This window comes from Homo sapiens, chromosome 7, assembly GCF_000001405.40.
Source record: "Homo sapiens chromosome 7, GRCh38.p14 Primary Assembly".
In the NCBI taxonomy this organism is placed as follows: Eukaryota; Metazoa; Chordata; class Mammalia; order Primates; family Hominidae; genus Homo; species Homo sapiens.
In genome coordinates this window covers 11,576,910-11,596,431 of record NC_000007.14, presented here as the reverse complement: position 1 = coordinate 11,596,431, position 19,522 = coordinate 11,576,910, and the positions used below count along the sequence as shown (strand labels likewise).

General features: G+C 36.0%; 1 protein-coding gene and 1 long non-coding RNA gene across 7 annotated transcripts in view; one reads left to right on the top strand and one right to left on the bottom strand.

Moving 5' to 3' along the window:
• Window positions 1-19,522, top strand: part of THSD7A (thrombospondin type 1 domain containing 7A) — a 461,834-nt gene that overhangs the window by 235,767 nt on the left and 206,545 nt on the right. For all 6 annotated transcript variants that reach the window (XM_006715662.2, XM_006715660.2, XM_006715659.2 and 3 more), the window contains 2 exons: window positions 2,930-3,178; window positions 5,791-5,972. In XM_006715662.2, the coding sequence (XP_006715725.1) occupies window positions 2,930-3,178; window positions 5,791-5,972 (431 nt within the window). The remainder of the gene's footprint in view (window positions 1-2,929; window positions 3,179-5,790; window positions 5,973-19,522) is intronic.
• On the bottom strand, window positions 4,876-12,539 carry LOC105375151 (uncharacterized). The gene is made up of 3 exons (XR_001744904.2): window positions 12,453-12,539; window positions 8,818-8,907; window positions 4,876-5,254 (listed from the first exon to the last, which is right to left on the bottom strand). It is a non-coding gene; the product is annotated as an uncharacterized LOC105375151 (long non-coding RNA).

Below are 19,522 nucleotides of genomic sequence, written 5' to 3'. Positions count from 1 at the left end.
GATGAATCCCGGGAACCACTGGACCCACTGTAAGTTGGACCTGAGCTAAAACTCCATTAGTTACCTGACCTCAATATGCACCTACTTTAACTGGAGGACCACAGTGATGTTTTGGGTCCCCTGGAATCAATGTCAGCTCCGAGCCAGTGTCCAGTAATCCCCAAATTGTCTGATCATTTCCCTTTCCCAATGCACAGTTACCCAGGTAAAAGGCCAGAGGTTTCCTTGGGGAAGGATGGAAGAAAGATTAACAGCATAAATTGTCCATAATGTAGTGGTGTTCTTCCCCAAGGGGACCCAGCCTCCCTTTCATTCAAGAGGTTCTGGGTCTGTAAACTGGCTCAAGCCTGGAAATTGATTGAGGGGCCATGATTCTCTGTTTTTATAATTCAAATGTCTTTTGTCCATTTGACCTAGAAGTTTTCTGCCTATATAAATTAAGTAGGAATACGGTAGGCTTCCTATCAATTTCACTTCTAGGAACACTATGATTAATTAACCAATGCCAGAGCTCTACATGAGTCAGACTATTCTGATTGCTGCTTTGCCTCTGCTGTCCATTACGATAGCTATGCCCGCCTTGCCTTTGATGGTTGAGTGCCGCCACTTGGCCCTTGCCACCTCAGGATCCAATTATTCTCATTGTATTTAAGTTTTGTAGTTGAGTGACTTTGGTTTCCACTGTTAGATCTGACATACAGAGAAGAGCAATTACTGGACTTTTCAAAGATGCAGGTGCTGCCCTCACAAATCTATTTTGCAAGGCATTGGTCAAGGGTATGTATTCTGGACCTCCTAGCTGGGATGAGTAGGTATAAAGTGACTAATCCACTTCACCATCCCAATCTCCCTAAGCCTTTGGATCCCTTCCTCTACATTAAACCAGGGGAGATCAGGCATTTCCAGCTCGCTCACAATGGGCCATCTTTTATCCATATTTTAGCTAACCAAGCAAATAAACCATTAGAACCTTTTTTTAACTCCCCAAGCTGGAACATTAAATGCAGAATCCCTACTTAGTGGGCCCAAATCAATAAATTCAGCCTGACCCGACTCTATCTTCCTTCCACCATTACCCCACACTCTTAATATCCATTCCCATGCCTGTTCTGCAGATTTCTGTTTATATTAATTAGAGAATTCAAGCAGTTCTCAAGTGTAGCACACCTCCTCATGGGTCACACTGTCAACCCCACCTCTAGGGGCCTGCCAGGACTTTAGTCTAGTTGTAGGTCTAGAAGCAAACAGGGGTGTTGGGGGTGGCTCCTGAGGAGAATCAACATTATCTTGCCTGGCAACTGCCTCAGGGGAGGCCATCACTGTTGCCTCAGGCAGTGCAGGGTTTATCTCCTCAGACAAAGGTGGAAAGGCTGATGGCAGCATGGGTTGGGGAGTGGATGTTGTCACTACTGGGGATGGGGAAGCTTTTTCTTCTGGCAAAAAAGATTCATCAGAGTTTACAAACTCAGTGTCCCCAGCTTCATCAGGGTCCCCCCACACGTCTGCATTCCAAGTTGCAGGGTCCCATTCTTTTCCAATCAATGCCCTCACTTTAACAGTAGACACCTGGTGAGGCTGTGCATGCATCTTTCCTTGCAGATGACCCACTCACATGATAAGAGCTTGTGTCTGTTTTTCCACAATTTCGGCTCCTTCTCAACAGAAGATAAGTCTTTCACTCAGGACAATTTATCTAGCAGATTTGAGGCTCAGTATCTGCTTATGAAGCTAGGAGTTAGAATCCCTGAGTTTATCATTTTCTTTCATCACTTTTCCATTGAACTTAGGAGCAATGGACTAGCTTCATTATGTTTCTTGGTTCTCCATATATGGTCAAAGGTGTTATATATAGAGTCTCTAAACTCCTTGCCTTCACAAGCAATGAATCAGGAGCGTCAAATGCATTTATTTTGCATAACTCCCTAAACAGTTCACACCAAGGACTATGAGTGTTCTCCATACTATTAGAAGTAGAGTCCTTAGCATTTTGGGGTCTAATATTAAGCAGCCAACTCCAGAAATCCCAAAACCAATGAAAGAATTCCATCCTTAATATTCTGCTCCTGTAGAACCACTCCTGGTACCAAAATCTGTCTTAGTCAGGGTTCTCTAGAGGGACAGAACTGATAGGATAGATATATGTATAAAGTGTAGTTATTAAGTATTATCTCACATGATCACAAGGTCCCACAATAGGCCATCTGCAAGCTGAGGAGCAAGGAGAGCCAGTATGAGTTCCACAACTGAAGAACTTGGAGTCTGATGTTCGAGGGCAGGAAGCATCTAGCACGGGAGAAAGATGTAGGTTGAGAGGTTAGGCCAGTCTACTCTTTTCATGTTTTTCTGATTGCTTTATATTCTAGCCGCATTGGCAGCTGATTAGATGGTGTCCACTCAGATTAAGGGTGGGTCTGCCTTTCCCAGCCAGTGACTCAAATGTTAATCTCCTTTGGCAACACCCTCACAGACATGCCCAGGACCAATACTTTGCATGCTTCAATCCAATCAATTTGACACTCAGTATTAACCATCACACTTACGCAGGCATATTTACTTGATTCCCTAAACAGAATGGAAATTAGCATATGTTAACAGTTCTTGGTTTCTCATTTTCTAAGTTAAAACAAGTCTGGAATGAGTAAAATGAACAGTATGGTAAACTTAGCTTTAGCTAATTTTACTTAATTCTCTTTATTTTCTATTTCCTATGAATGGTTTAACAACTCTTAGAAAACAGAAGAATATGCAAATGTTAGCTTTGAGTCTAACTGCTTTTCCACATCATAAATGTTGATGTATTTTCGATGAAACTGGAATCACACCTCCAAGTAGAAATAAAAATGCCCAAGCTGATTCACTCTTGAGCGTAGAAGACAAAGTTCATAACTGCCTGTGAGTCTGTAATGAGAATATCAATGCTCTTTTACAGCTTTTGCCAGCAAGAGAAGCTTCCAATGACCTTCCAGTCCTGTGTGATCACCAAAGAGTGCCAGGTTTCCGAGTGGTCAGAGTGGAGCCCCTGCTCAAAAACATGCCATGACATGGTGTCCCCTGCAGGCACTCGTGTAAGGACACGAACCATCAGGCAGTTTCCCATTGGCAGTGAAAAGGAGTGTCCAGAATTTGAAGAAAAAGAACCCTGTTTGTCTCAAGGAGATGGAGTTGTCCCCTGTGCCACGTGAGTAAATAAAGAAGGGTATAGCGTCTGCCGAAACTACATTTGCTCAGCTATTTGATTTTGACTGAACAGTACTCTAAGCAACAGTAATTTTTACACATAAAAAATATCTTTACAAACAGTATCCTTAAAAAAAACTTTTTTTACAGAATAAAAGTGTCCTGACAAACTAAATCTCCATGAAATTTTTAGCACCAATTCTATGTTTATGTATTTTCTATAATAGGAGTTGCCAAAATTTTTCTGTAAAGGGGTAGATAGTTAAAACATTAAGCTTTGCAGGCCATACGTGTCTCTATTGCAATGACTCAACACTGCTGTTGGAGCTAGAGGTAATATGTAAACAACTGAGCGTGGCTGTGTTCCAATACAATTTTATTTATATAAAAAAAAAGGTGGCAGGTTGATATGATCTTGGGCCACAGTTTGTCAACCTCCATTCCACAAGGTAAAATAAACTTTCCAAATATAGATTATCGTTAACTATTAAAATTCAGTACTTTGTATAACAAATCCTATTCACTAGAGTAAAATACTACATCAAAATAATGATACTTTAAGTTCCATGAGGACAAAGATTGTGCTTACTAATATGGGGAAAAGGGTTGGGTTTTTTGCTTGTTTGCTTTTTGTTTAATTGCTAGCATATATCACAATACCTGGTACAAAATATGTGTTCAATAAATATTCATTGAATTCAGATTAAATAAGACTCATTCTGAAACATTTGGCAGTATGACAGTATTAAAATATAATTTCCAAGTTATCATTGTGAATTATTTTGGTAATAGCAATATTTCAGCTTAATCTGTATATAGGATATTTATAAAGCAACTTATATTAGTTTTTCAATAGAGATGTGTGAACTTCATTGAGAGCATCTCTGGATTATTCCAAACATTTAAAGAACATGCATATAGCTAGATCTTTATGAACCAGTGGGGAGGCAAATTACTACTACTACTATTCCTATAACAACAACAAAAAAAATAGTAATGTTTTATACCAGATATATAATTCTGCAGCACTTTGGACTCATCCATTGTGTTCTAATGTGAAAAGTGACTGAAACCTCCACAGAGAATTTCCTCCCCAATGTCTCTGCCTATCCCACTGATTGTTCTGGTTCCTCCCCACATAATAGGCTCAAGGAAGTTGCCAGGATTTCCTGTATTTTCTCTCCTATGAGTTTCCTCTATTTTTGTTGCAAGCTAAGTGCTTTATTCTTTTTCTTCTCAGATATTCAAACACAATTAACAAAATAAACATATATCCTTGAGTATCTTTCTCCATGCCCTTTTTGGGGGGAAGCATTTTTCATAGAATGTGTAACCAATCTAAATTATTGACAGGCTATTCCTCTCATTGGACTTTTTGGCGTGACCTAAATCAGAACTTCAATTTATTTAGAACAATTATTGCAGCTCCCTTAACAAATGATCTATTTGGTTTTGCTTCCTTCCCCTTCAATCCCCAAACCAGGCATCAATTATTCGTGTTTCTATAATTGACCTGAGTGCTGCACTTCCTTTATAAATTAATGTCAGGTGTTGTTTCTTCATGACCCAGTCCCACAATTCGTTAAGCAACAAATCCCCACTTATAAAATTTAAAAACAGGCATGAAGTTCATCTTTACTGTCACAAAACCTTACCACTGACAGAGTGAAGCATCTAGATTAGACATCTGAGGGCCGTTTAACCTTCTGCCTGATTCAGATGAATATTTGCACATCCATTTGCACCTATGTTGGCTGTTCATCTGATTACTAAGGAAGCATCTTCGTTAAAGTGACACAAAGTGCTACATGAGTCATGTTCTTTGTGCTTTTAGAACATCCATTTTCCTTGAGGTGGAGAAATGCCATCACTTCCTGTCTTCGGTGGCATCGAGAAATATTTCCCTAGCTATCTCCTTCAATCACGTGTTGGACTGACAATCCCCTGACATTTTTCTCACATCATAATCTTGATTGGAGCTTTAATTGAGCATCATAGATCTTCTTTCCTGTGCTCCACTGATGAGAAGTGCCAGCTCTTTGCATCATGCATCCGCACTCATTAGGAATGCTCAGTGCTACCAAAAAAAAAAAAAAAATCTTATTCTTGACAATAAAGAGAAAACTCTGATTTATTGTCTTATAATTTTTAACCCTAATATACAAGCATAATCTTGCTACACTGTGCAGTTTTCATTTATTTTGTAAAAGGCAAAGCAAATGTTTTGGTTCATCATCACTCAGAATGTTTCCCATTTTCATATTCAATCCACCTTTGTTTATAGGCAACAAGAAAGGGCAAGCCTGGGTTCAGCTTAATTGAACATAAAATTTCATGTTTTCAGCATTGTGCTCCCTTTTCATAAAATATTTATAAGTAACTTCCAGTAATTGCAATTGAAACAGGATCACCCTAAATTTAACCCCTCGTTAAATGGAGCACTGCAGAGCATAAAGGAGTTGAAACCAAATATGCACCATAGATGTAGTCTACGATGGATTCTCTAGGAAAATGATTTTGAGACTAATTTTCGTTAAAACAAAGTATGACAGGAGTAGAGAAACACGTCATTCAATAATTATGGTTGCTGCTGGTGGTGTTGTCTTTATTTAGGTATGGCTGGAGAACTACAGAGTGGACTGAGTGCCGTGTGGACCCTTTGCTCAGTCAGCAGGACAAGAGGCGCGGCAACCAGACGGCCCTCTGTGGAGGGGGCATCCAGACCCGAGAGGTGTACTGCGTGCAGGCCAACGAAAACCTCCTCTCACAATTAAGTACCCACAAGAACAAAGAAGGTAACCTTTGCTTTCTTCTCAAGGATTCACTTATGAAGACTGACTGAGCATGTGATTGCTCTGAAGGGATATATACACAGCCATCCAGGTTATGAGGGCTGCATTTCTGTTCACATTGTGGTTGGTATTCACTATGGTAAACAGTAATCCACATTATGGTTGTGAAAATATTTAACACAATTCCATCTTTGGTCAGTTCTGGTTTACTGACAAGTTTCTTTAAAATTTTGACTTAAAGGCCTTCTTGACTCAACCTCTTCATCAAAGTTTAGCAGGAATAATGTAAAAACTAGACGAAAATTTATCTGTAAATATACACATATCATGCAAATATATATTCTAAATTCCAAAATTATATAAGAAGTAAAACCTGCTTGTCAAAAGAAATCTTATTTGGATAAAATGTGGTTAAAAATAAGTTAATTATGATATTGAATAAAATTGTCAATTTCAATTTAAATAAGTACAGAATAGAAACTACAGTAAAAGAAAACTTTAACCCAAAGGCATTTTTTAAAACTCTTCAGTTGTTTGGCAGATAAATCTTTTTTTAATTAAATCTGTTTCAGGACCAGATATAGGAAGTGTACAAAAGAATAAGTGAATACAAAATGGCCCAAGCTAAAACTATATATTTTAGATATTAATATGACTCTAAAATTATCATAATTATTTGATTAAGTGTATATTGAATTAGTACATCTTAAGTTCACACACAAATATGAACATCTTTAAGCAGTACTGTAAGCAGTCTTTATCCTCCTTCTGTCTGAGGAATAGCAGGACTTCTTTCACTGACCCATTGAACGTATATTAACATATACAATTTGTTTAAGAGAGTGAGGATAGAAATACCAATACAGATTGCATGTCATGGAAGTCCTCAAAGTCATCAGGAGAGCATGTAGACAAACCAGTAATTAAAATGCAATATGCCATGCCATACAACCAAGTTTCAGAATGAGCGTAAGGGAGTAGTAGAAATAGAGCCCTTTATGGAGGGAGTGGCACTTGAGCTCAATGACGACAGAGACACTACTTGCAGGGAAGCATGGCAAGAGTGCAAGAGGGAGTTCATTTCAGGCAAGGGAACAATGTGTATGAATGCACAATGCTAAAGAAAAGCAAAAACCAAGGGTAAATCTCACCAGTAAAGATGGGCGTGTTGTATTTGGCAGGTTGTAGAGACGGGAGGGGAGGAAAGGAGATGAGAGGAAAGGATTGGATTTCCTAGAAAATACCTTGGTAGAAAAAGAACAAGGATAAAGGCCCTATTTGATACCACCAGATGAAATACCAAAAAAGGAGAATATTTTGGGAAGGAATATGAGCAAAAAGGATCAGAAAATAAGGTAAAGAACCAAGAGAAATGAATGTTTTTAAAACCAAAGAAGAGATGGCTTCTCTGCCCCTCCCAAAAAGGACTGACACCAGTGACCAGTAATTCATGGAAGAAAAAAACTGAAGTTTTGCAGTTGCAACTTTCAAAATTTAATTGTTCTGTATCCACTAACTTTACACAGCATGTCAACTCATTTAGGAGTCTAGCCTAGGGATACATTTTACTACTAATGTATCTTGAGGTTATAAGGAAGTAACATAAAACATGTAATGTTAGGACATTAATATTTTCTTGGCCACTTTAATGGCTGCATTTTAACACTCTTAAGTAGATTTATTATAGCAGTCTTTCCAGGGTAGTATAATTTCATTGCTAGAGGTAGATCAGATTTTAGTTTTGGAATGTCAATTATGTCCTGTAGGTTATTGCTTTCCAAAGATCCTTCAGAATTCTGAATTGCAACTGGGTATTTTTTTTAAAGCATTTTCTTTTAGAGCTCCCCCCAACCACTGCTAAATCACTGCAGACACCAAAAACAGTCACAGAAAAAGAAGGAATATTGCAAGAATATCATTATTAAGATGTAGTTGTTAGACTAAAGCAAATGCCAAAGCAAAGGTCAATAGATATGGAGGTAACTAATTCACCTAAAATTAATATTTATCATGTAAATATGTAACATGAATAATTTAGGAGTGTGTGTCCTTTCATATCAAATACCAAGAATACTAACGAACTTCTTAAAGTCTTTGCAAAAACAGTTAATTCTCCCTAAAAATGTAGCATTTATTCCACCAAATTTAGACTATGTTAGTTTCTCCCCGGGAGCACTTAACATTTCCCAATAGGAAACATACTCAGTATACCAGCATCCCAGGGGTGACATGCGAAGTCTATAAATATGTGTGAATGGAGAACAATTAGGCTGTGGGCTTGAAGATTATTCACACTCGATGTTCAGTCATGTTCATATGAAAGAATGTAAAGCTTATCTTATAAAAGAGAGAAATCCCTCAAAACAACTCCCCCAGCTAATAAGAAGACACTCATTTCAAGAATCCATGACTGTGTAACCATGAACAACCTGTACTATGAACAACTCAGTTTTACTTAAAGAACTATCTACACTGTTCTCTTTGCAGTTTCACACCATGTGTTCTCTAGATGACTTGTTTTCACATATAACCAAGGTGTGAAAAAGACCCTAACACAAAACAAAATACTTTAACTCAAAAATAAAGTGTATTAGTACAAAAAAATACTGAAAGCAAGTGATATGAAATTTATGTAAACTTCCTTTATTAACTTGGTGCATTGTGTTACACAGGGGAATGATACTGACTACCTTAGCATAAAGGCAGGAAGCATTAATAACTTTTTTACTCATTGGTATATTCTGTACTACTAAGTGACACACACCATAAGGGACAGAAAAATTCTTATCCTCGGAGTTAATACATTTAATTTCCAAAATAATAAAATGTATCTTATTAAAGTACTCACAAGGTCTTTAGTAAAATATTCACAATTTAGTATGCTATTTGTGTCAGTAGAATTATATCATCAGAACATATCCTAAGTTGGAGATAGCACCTGTAAAGAGTAGGAAGAAATATATCTCATCAATATTGGAGAGTGTCTATATTTTATTATTGCACTGCTCTTAGCTGTAGGTAACCCTCCCAATCCTGACAACTATTCCCCCACAATATTCAGGTGAGCAGAATTTCTACTATATCATTTCCGTAGAAGAAAGGCTTGACAAGTTCCCTACTGACAGTGTCAGTAGTAAAACCCTTGACAGTTTTTGTTCAGCCAGCTGATATGTGAAGAATGTCCAGCTTATGCTGGCGTGAAATCTACCCTTATCAGAATATGACAGGAAGAGGCCTTGCCTGTGGGGAGGTTATCTGTATGAGTCCTAGAAAGTTGATGAACATCTTGCTGATCATTGGATGCATGGAAGTAAATTGATTTTTTTAGAGTTCAAAGTAAAATGAAAGTAGATTTTACCTACAGTAACTCAAGAAATTCTTCCATTTAGTACAGATTGAACATGTTTTTAAGTGAGGGAAGCTGAAAGTATTGGTTATAAGACAACATTAAGTTTACAGTGACTTATAGGAAACTGAAGAGCATTTCTCTGTAGAAAACATATTAAAAATCCACACTAAAATCTGGATATTGTCTGTGGGATTGAGGGTTATTAAGAAAGACAGCCTAGATAATAAGCCTGTATGATGACATAGAATGAGATATAGCAACAGAAAGGATTGGAGGATCAATGGGAAGATAGGCGGAGGGATGGATGATTGAACTGTGAATGGATAGACGGAAAGGTAAGTAAAAAACTCGCATTTCCTCATGCTCAACAAAGAAATAAGAAAATAAAATAGTCACACCATTGCTAAATGGAAAGTAAATTATTTATCACTATATTTTGTCTACGGTTTCCACACATAAACCCACTTTAGAAAAAGCTTTTTGGAAAAAGAGAAAAGAAAAGAAAGGCTATGCATTACGGTGCTATTTTCCTGTTATTTTAGAAAGTAAATATCAGAGTGTGTTGAAGTCTTGTGCTGTGTCTTTCCTGTTCCTCACTTTTGAAATAAAAGGTAGGTAAGAATATTTTACATGATAGTTCCACCTGAAGTGTGTATAAGGGAACCATGTGTCGCTGATACCTAAGAGAGTCTCCATAGATTCTCAGATGCAATCCTTAAGTCGTTTAGGAAAGGGAGTGGTTTATTTTTACTTTCTATTTTGCTAAAAATATATCAAACCTGTCCCATGAAGAAAAATGATTTCATGTTTTTTGACTTTCTATAACACCATTATGTAGATGTAAATCACAGGAAAACAAGATTTTTAAATTTACTGACTTCTAAAACTTTCACTAGTATACTATAATTATACAAACAGGCATATAAAGTTTGGCTATGAACACTTTTTGAGAATAATATAAGTATAAACACTCCATAATTTATTGTATTTCTAAGCATACCACTTTCTGCTCATCTTAATATGGTAAATGAAAAAGGACTAGAACCCATGATGGCTACAGCTTGGAAACACAATGCACTGTAAATACAGTGGGATGTAAAAAGCACTGGAAAATAATACGGCAGGTCCTCAAATAATGCTGTTTTGTCCATGAACATTTTGTCATAACATTGACGCGAAAAAAAAAATTGATTCCCAGCTGAGGAATGTGGAGTCTGCATGTTCCTCCCATGTCTGCATGGGTTTTCTCTGGGTATTTTGGTTTGCTCACATGCCTCAGAGATGTTCACATCAGGTGAATTGGCATGTCTACGGAGTCCCTGTCTGAGTGAGTGTGGGTGTGTGTGTGAGTGCACCCTGAGATGGGATGGTGTGTTGTCCAGCCACAGTTCCCACCTTGCTCCCTAAACTGACGGAATAGGCTCTGGCCACCCACGACCCCAGACTGGAATAATTAGGTAATGAATGATCTTACTTGTTTTTAATCTTTCTTAAGTGTATGTAAGCTTAGATTTATTTCAGTGTTTAATATTAAAAGTGTTTTGGTCTTTATTTAGAAGTTTAGTGATGTTTTTGTGACCAGACGTATGCGGTGGGAACTTAACTCTCTTGTTTATATCAATTAGCCTATGGAGAAATGAGTTCTCTTTTAACGATCATTAGTCAAGGCTTCCAAGAACCTATTGGTGACGTTAAATGAGGACTTACTGTATATAATAATTAAAACATAGGAATCCCCAAAGGAATCAGAGCCTCCTTGTTAGCCAGTCCTCTGTATATCTTGTGGGAGAGAACAGCTTTTACCCTATGAAATTACTCTGTGATCACTGGACTACAAAATGGAAAGTGAGATGTCAAGAGGTTCAGCTGTTGGGGTAAAAGGTAATAAAAACTCATGCTGGGAATTAGATTAAGGTAGTTAGTTGTCTACCCAGAGGTAATGTAAGAGTTTTTATTGGAGAAACAGCTTACTGATGAGACTTCAGGAAGTATTCAACCAAAAAGGCAAAGAAACATATCATGAGGCAGCTCAGAAGTCAGATAAACATGAGTACTGTGCTTTGTACCTTTGACTTGGTAGGTTTTTAATAAACATTTGCTGTTTGATATATTTACTGTTCCCTTTATAAAATGGTACAATCTCTTTTAATTTGTCTGAAAATTATCTCTTGAATATTTCAAATATCCACCCCCACTTCCTTAAATTCTGTTTCACAAAGAGGCTATATTCGCACTCACACTGCCTTTTATCTCTGAATATAGAACTGTTTACACCTCTGAATTTGAATAGAGGACACATGATCTAGTCCTTAAATCAAATGACATGAGTCAAGATTCACACACCTTGTTTTCAGTTTGGACACTAATTTAAGGGAACAGTTTTTATTTCTTTTATCTTTTCTAAATATAGTATATACTTTAAAAGTCTTTTAACTTCTCATCTTAAGGCTATTTTCAATAGAACCCCAGATAGGAATCAGGAAACCTGGTTTTCATTTCTGCTTGGCATGTATTCTTAGGCACATTACTTAACTTTATTTGCCTGAAGATAACTATTTATAAATTACTCTTCTGTTCCCATTCAAGCTATGTGACAGACTAGCTTACACGAAAAAACAGCCTTTATATAACACCTAGTCAAGATTCACACACTTGGAATATATTGTTTGGGGAAAAAGGTAGAAACATTAAACACTCTTATATTTTATTAACTCATTATGCATGTTAAAAATTTAAGAGTAATTATGAAGTAAAAATACATATTTTTGTTTAATAACTACTAATATATTTGTATAATTATGTATTATACAGTAATATAATCAATTATTAATAATTGCATATATATTTTTTCCAATGTTGTTTTAAATGATCTTAAGGGCAGAACTGAGGTCTTGACTAACTAAATGATTCCCCAGAACAAACCAGCAAGGCTGAGCTGCTGATGCTTTCTGTGGTTGCCCTTGGGTGGGGATGGTACAGGAAAAGTGTTACACATTTTGGGAACCTAGGAGGAGTGAAGCCAATAAGGAGCATGACACAGAAACTTTAGCCAGAGAAAGAGAATACAGGCAAAAATACTGCATTACTTCATTAATCTCAAAGGATAATCAAGTAAGTAGAGAAACTCAACTTACCTGTAGAGGGAGATGACAATTAAATAGGTCAGCCTCAGTCTTAACTTAGGAGAAAAATAAGACTCACTAAGAATTCCAATTATGGGTCTGTATTCATATTGGTTTTAGTTTCAAACTTATGCTTACTTCCATGAGTCCAAAAACTGCAAAGCTGAGAAATTAATATAAGAAATTATATCATTCCACTGGTACTACTAGAATGCCTGAAATAAACAAATGCAAAAACTCTCTAGATAAAAATACCTTAACCTAAGGCACAGGATTTACCCCTGTAAACTGCACCATCCAAAATTATGAATTATGCAAGGAAAAATAATCCATCATAAACAGGATTTAAAATGCCTAACAAGCAGTAAGATTAGACTCCCAAGATTGAAAATACTGTATTAGAAATAGCAGATAGAGGCCAGGCATGGTGACTCTTGCCTGTAATCCCACCACTTTGTGAGGCTGAGGCGGGTGGATAACTTGAGTCTGGGAGTTCGAGACCAGACTGTGCAACATGGTGAAACTGTCTCTACCAAAAAAATATAAAAACTGCCAGGCGTGATGGCATGCACCTGTAGTCCCATCTACATGGGAGGCTGAGGTAAGAGGATCTCTTGAGCCCAGGAGGTGGAGATTGCAGTTAGCCAAGATTGTGCCACTGCACTCCAGCCTCGGTGGCAGAGAAAGACCCTGTCTCAAAACAAACAAAAAATCACATAGAGACCATAAAATGCTAAAAACTTATTAAAGATTTAAAGGAAAAACTTTACAAGATTAAAAATAATGAGTCAGATTTAAAAAGACCAATTTTTTAAAATAGTAGTTTTAGAACTGAAAAACACATTCACTGGAAATAAATAAATGGGTAGTTTGGACAGATTGAACTAAAGAGTTATTAGCAAACTGAAGACAAAAAAAATAAGGAAATAATTGAATATTTAACACTGAGAATAGAAGTTGACAATAAAAATGAGGATAATAGTCATGCAGAGTTGACAAGAAGGTTCAGAATATAAGAATCAAAAGCAAGGGAGAGAAAATGCTCCAGAAGTGGTAAAAAAAAACACAGATATACAGAATTAGGAAAAACAAGAATTTTCAAGCAGGATAATAAAATACCCACACTAGGGACAATGTAGTGAAATTTCAGCTCAACAACTACAAAGATATGTTGAAAGGAATAGAGACAAGAAAAACATTATTTACAAAGGAATTAGCAAATTAATAGTGAAATTTTCAGCAGCTACAGAAAAGCAAAACAACACTAATTATATATTCAGAGTTCTGAGAGGAAAGTAACTGGCAACGTAGAATTATTTACCCAGCTACCTAACTTTCAAAAGTATGGGCAAAATTTAGACAAAGGTGAAAGGGATTGCCTTCAATAAACTCTCACTGAAAGATTGCCAAAGGATATTTAAGAAGAAGGAAATCAAACCAAGAAAGATTGATTAAAGATGAGAAAAGAATTTGGTAAACCCATGGATAGTCTAATTAAGCAGAGATATGTATGAAGCAATACTAATATTATAATGTGCATTTAGTTGATGAACAAAAATAATATAGGATAGGAAACAATAAGGAGAGTATTGCTTAGGAAAAAGGTGGAAATATTGAACACCCTTCTATTTTACTAACATTATGCATGTTAAACATTTAAGCATAATTATTAAGTAATAATACATATTTTGGTTTTAATAACTATTAATATATTATTGTATACTTATGTATTATTATACACTAATATAATCAAGTATTAATAATTAAGTAATGTGCATATATATTGTTCCAATCCAATAGAAAAAATGAAAGAGGCTGGATAAAATTTAATCAATTTAATAGAAGTACTAAATAAGAAAAAAATACCGATTTTTTTACACGGACTATCTAATACCAAATAAAGACTAGAATTGGAGCTTTAAAATGTCAGAGTAAAAGATTATTACAGAAAATTATTTTGTTCTAACTATAAACTGCATCTGAGAGACAAATCAGCTGTATTACAAATGTTTACAGTGACCAAACTAAGAGTGTGGACTATTGAGTCCAAACAGTCACCACCGCTGGAAAATATGTAAGCAGACTAACAGATCACACTGTGTATTAATATTTTCTAGTCAATAATGCCAACTTTATATACAAAGCATGGTAAAAATCATATTTTTTCAAGGAAATAACAATATTAGTTTGCCATATATGTGTACAGTGTGTCAAAACTATTCAGGAGAGTAAGAGGTTGGATCAATTAAATGGCATTTGATAGAACATTTTCTTAGATAATAAAAAAAAATGCCCAGAATTTTCTCCAATATTTTTAGAGTGAAGGATGATCTTTACAAATGTAAAATTCAGAAGCAATCATGTTACCAAATTGATATTGTTCAATGAAGCATGAAAGCAATTGCCAACTTCTAAAATTGAAGGATAGAAACATGTGAAAATTCATGAGTATTTCAAACCTATCTCTCTTTTTATCATTCTAGTTTTTCCCAGTTTGCTAATGGAAAAGACAAAAATGACATTGGCAAAGAAATTATTACCCAGACAGGATTATAAAATTCATGGTGTATATTGGTGTCTGGTACAAAGTCATGGATGATGTACTAATAAAGTATATGAGTCATATTAAGCTAATAATAAAATATTGGATAATAATCTTGTGACACAGGAATATTTTAATAGACTACAAACAATAGAATATCTCTAACAATATGAAGAATAATGAGTACGTATAAATACCCAGTTAAGTCCCAAATGCCCACTATTAAAAAGTAGTAATAACAATGATGATAATGATAATAACAATATTAATTACATTTATTAAGACATTATATTAATTATTTGGTTGCTTCAAAGATTAAATGTGTATGTTGGGAACACACACTTGCAAGGATTTAATATTAAACTCATTCTATGTTCATTCTCCCAAGTGTTATTTTTCTGACCATCAATTACAGTAGAGGAAGGATTGCAAATTTAGGTATCTCACTTATTATTCTTTCATTCACTCAACAAATACTTATTGAACAATTATTAGGTTACACCACTGATTTAGATGTTGAAGATATAATTTTTTATGTTTTTATTTTATTTTAATTTGTATTTTAAGTTCAGGGATACAAGTGCAGGTTCATTTACATAGGTAAGCTTGTGTCATGGGGGTTTGTTGTACAGATTGTTTCATCACCCAGATATTAAGCCTAGTATCCATTAGTTAGTTATTTTTCCTGATCCTCTCCCTCCTTCCACCCTCCATCTTCCAAAACACCCCAGTGCGTGTTGTTCCCCTCTATGTGTCCATGTGTTCTCATCATTTAGCTTCCACCTATAAGTAAGAACATGCAGTATTTGGTTTTCTGTTCCTGTCTTAGTTTGCTAAGGATAATGGTCTCCAGCTCCATCCATGTCCCTGCAAAGGATATGATTTCATTCTTTTAATGGCTGCATAGTATTTTCTGGTGATTTTTTAAAAAAGTATACTTGATACTTGTCATCAGGAAGTTTATAGCCTGATAAAAGCCTTGAAGTTATAGCTTTGTGTACTTGGAGTTTAGACTGACCCTTCACAAGGCTGACATAGGGTGACTTGTATGGATCTGTCAGTTTGGGGCTGTCTAATCCCTGAGAGTGCACTACACCATGGTCCGTCCTTAATAACGAACCTGTACCCTTATTCCTCAGGTGAATTTTTTTTCTCTAAAGCATATATCCTCAAAATATAGTTTAAGAATCACCTGCATGCTTTAAGAAAATGCAGACATTCCTAGATATTACCCACTGGGGCTGTAATTCTGTAGGTCCTGAATGAGGCAGGAATCTGTTTTTTATAAGGATTGTCATTGATTATAATCAAGAGTTGATTTTACCATGCAGCTAATGAGAGTCTTTTGGGACCCAAAGCTTATGCGATTTAGAGAACCCTAAATGTTATTTTAAAAAAAACAGCCAGATTTCAAAATTCCAAATTCAAAATCACTCACTAACATCTCTGCCAGGGCCTTAGAAGGGCCCAAACCTTAAGCTTCATGGGCTTCTCAATAAATCTACCCCTAATTCTAACATAGATTTTTGTCCTCTATTACAGCCAGTGAGAATGACTACTTTAAGATGAGAAACAGAAACACATGCATTGTTTCTTGAAAAGCCTTGTTTTCCCCATAGTTCTAGAGGTACGACTGGGAAGAATGGAATGACTAGAAAAAGTCACTATATATTTTCCAAAGTGAACTGGACCTTTCAGTAATGATATTAGTCTTTTCTACATTCTTTGACCCCCCAGTTTTAGATCCCTGAGCTCTAAATCTTTAGAAACTCACAATACTTTGCTAGTATTTAAGCTGGGAAATTAGGGAAGGATAGATACTGTTTCATCTTACTTCATACCTGTAACCTGAGATGGAAAGAAGACATAGCAGTTAATACAGACCTTCCATTAATGAAAGAAAGATGGTGGATAAAATGTCATCTAACCTGACACTATCAAGGGACTATAGTATCCGTGCTTTTTGTAACCCTTAAGCACTTATTTCATCGAGTTCGTTGTAGATGAATGATAGCGCCAGGAGGAATTTTGAAATGAGCACTCAGGGATGTGCACTGGTGAATGAGTAGCATTTTTTCAGAGGCACACTCCTGCTATCTAAAGATGTAAAAGAAATGGTTTGTGGCTAGGGCTGGTTGTTCCCTGCCTTGCTGATGATTGCTCAATAGGGAGTAGCTACTCTCTCCAGTGTTAACAGAGGAGTGCAAACTACATTGTAGAACTCATTAATATTTATTCCTTCTAAAAGCAATGGGCAATAAAAAGGGAAATAAACCAAGGAGAATAGCAATGGGAAAAGAAAACTGTAACAACAGATTCATCTTGGAAAGGTCTCATCATTTATTGCACACAAAAATATGCTCAAAATACAAGGATACAGCTCATATTCTAAGTTTGAAATCCACTAAAATTGCCTCTTATTGGGGAAATTAATTTAAGAAAAAAATGCACATTGAATGCAATTCAAGAACTCAAAGTAGTAATCTATATTCTTGTAATTATATGCACTGGTTGTACCTCTTCACAATTTTACATTTTCTGTATTTGACAAAGTTACATGTCCTCAGTGTCGGAAGCTGTTTTGTATTTGTGGATGCACAAGAACTCTCTCTAAGCTAAGCATCACCTATCCATTGAAGCAAAACCAGTGCTATTTCAGTTCCTTTTCTTTTGCTTTTCCTCTATTTTCTGCCTTGTAATGCCTTCAACCATTGTCCCAATTATCCAAATATCTCCTCTTTTAAAGAATATTTTTCAAATTACAAGACCTTAATCATCTTCCTTTATCCAAAGCCTGTATAGCCCTTTTCTGCTATATTTCTTGATTTGCCATTTGATTTCATATGATTATATTCTATTCATGCCAACTTCCCAAGATTTTAAGCTTCTGAGAGAGGGCATAGTGTTTTATCCTTCCCTAAACTTCTTTAGTACAACCTATCATTCTTAGCAGAGGTCTGGGTACATTTACCAATTGTATTCTTTGGAAATATCTTTTAAAAAGACAGAGAAATGCCTTCAGTCAGAGGATGTTGACTTCCTGGACATTTAATTTATAAGGTTTCATTTTGAATTAACCTATCTTTTGCACTAATTCATTCTATATCTCTTATGCTTTTCTTTCCTTTTTAAAGGCTTAATGAGATGACATATGTAACATATGTAAATCATTTCCTAGCATAAGGCCTTGCATTTATTATATGCCAAATGAATATTAATTGCTTTTGTTTACGTGTTTACTTTTCTGGTTGAATTGAGAAAAGGGAATTTTTTAAATAACAGTTTCGCTCCAAATCCTTAGCATGCAATAAAGGCTAATTGTATACTAGCTTGCTAGTTGAGAAACATAATGGAGAGCAAATAATACTGTCTCTTTACAGTATGTGTTAAAATCCTGCCATGGGCTAACATTATATACAAAATTGTCCCTTTCTTGGGAAAAAAATAGACCTTTTCTAAAGCTTTCATTGTATTATTTTAGAATAAGAATAAATACAGTTAATTTTACTTCTATAGTTATGGTAGTCAGAATAATTACAGCTTCCTTTCCTTTGTGATTCAGAAGCCTTGCGAATTTTAAGTAGTAGTCCATTGCTGAAGAATTCTGACAAAGATGCTTGTAGTAACCCTCGGATTGTTAGGTTACTCTAAAACAGCACTTTCACCATTGCTCAAACTTGGAATGCCACGCTGTTCCATCTGCCCCTTATATCCCACAGGATTTCTGGGGATCTAAAATGCCCAGATAGGGAGCTTTATGCCTGGGAAAACTTAGCCCTTGTTGTTAAAATAATAATTATAGCAACTAGATACATAAAAACATAGGGTTTAGAGGCCAGCCATGGTGGCTCACACCTGTAACCCCAGGCCTTTGGGAGGCTGAGGCGGGCAGATCACTTGAAGCCAGGAGTTCAAGATCAGTCTGGTCAACATGGCGAAAATCCATCTCTACTAAAAATACAAAAATTAGCTGGGTGTGGTGGCACATGCCTGTAGTCCCAGATACTCAGGAGACTGAGGCACAAGAATTGCTTGAACCTGGGAGGCAGAGGTTGCAATGAGCCAAGATCACACCACTGCACTCCAGCCTGGGTGACAGAGCAGACTCTGTCTCAAAAAAATAAAAAGTAAATAAAATAGAGTTTAGAAAACACTTCTATTGTTTTATATGTGCTCAGCTAGATCTGTTTAGAAAGTCTTGGATCAATTAAGTTTCTAGTTCATTAAGAATCCCAGAAGTACTGTGAAAATACAGTTATGTTTTTAACTAGGAAAGCTATTGACTTATTTATCAAAGCCTTCTACAAATCTATAACAAGGGGGTAAGAAAAGTCCCCAACATATTGCGGTAGATAGTGTTTTCCCATTAATACATAACTAACCTGATAATTAGAGAATAATTTTCTCAGACATACTGAAACAGTCAGTGGCAAAACATGGACTCAATGCCTTGTTTTTGACTCTAAAGTGTAAACTCATTGCAAGCATACTCGCTTCCCCTATGCATTTGCTTCAGAATAAATGCCCTGGGTATAATAGC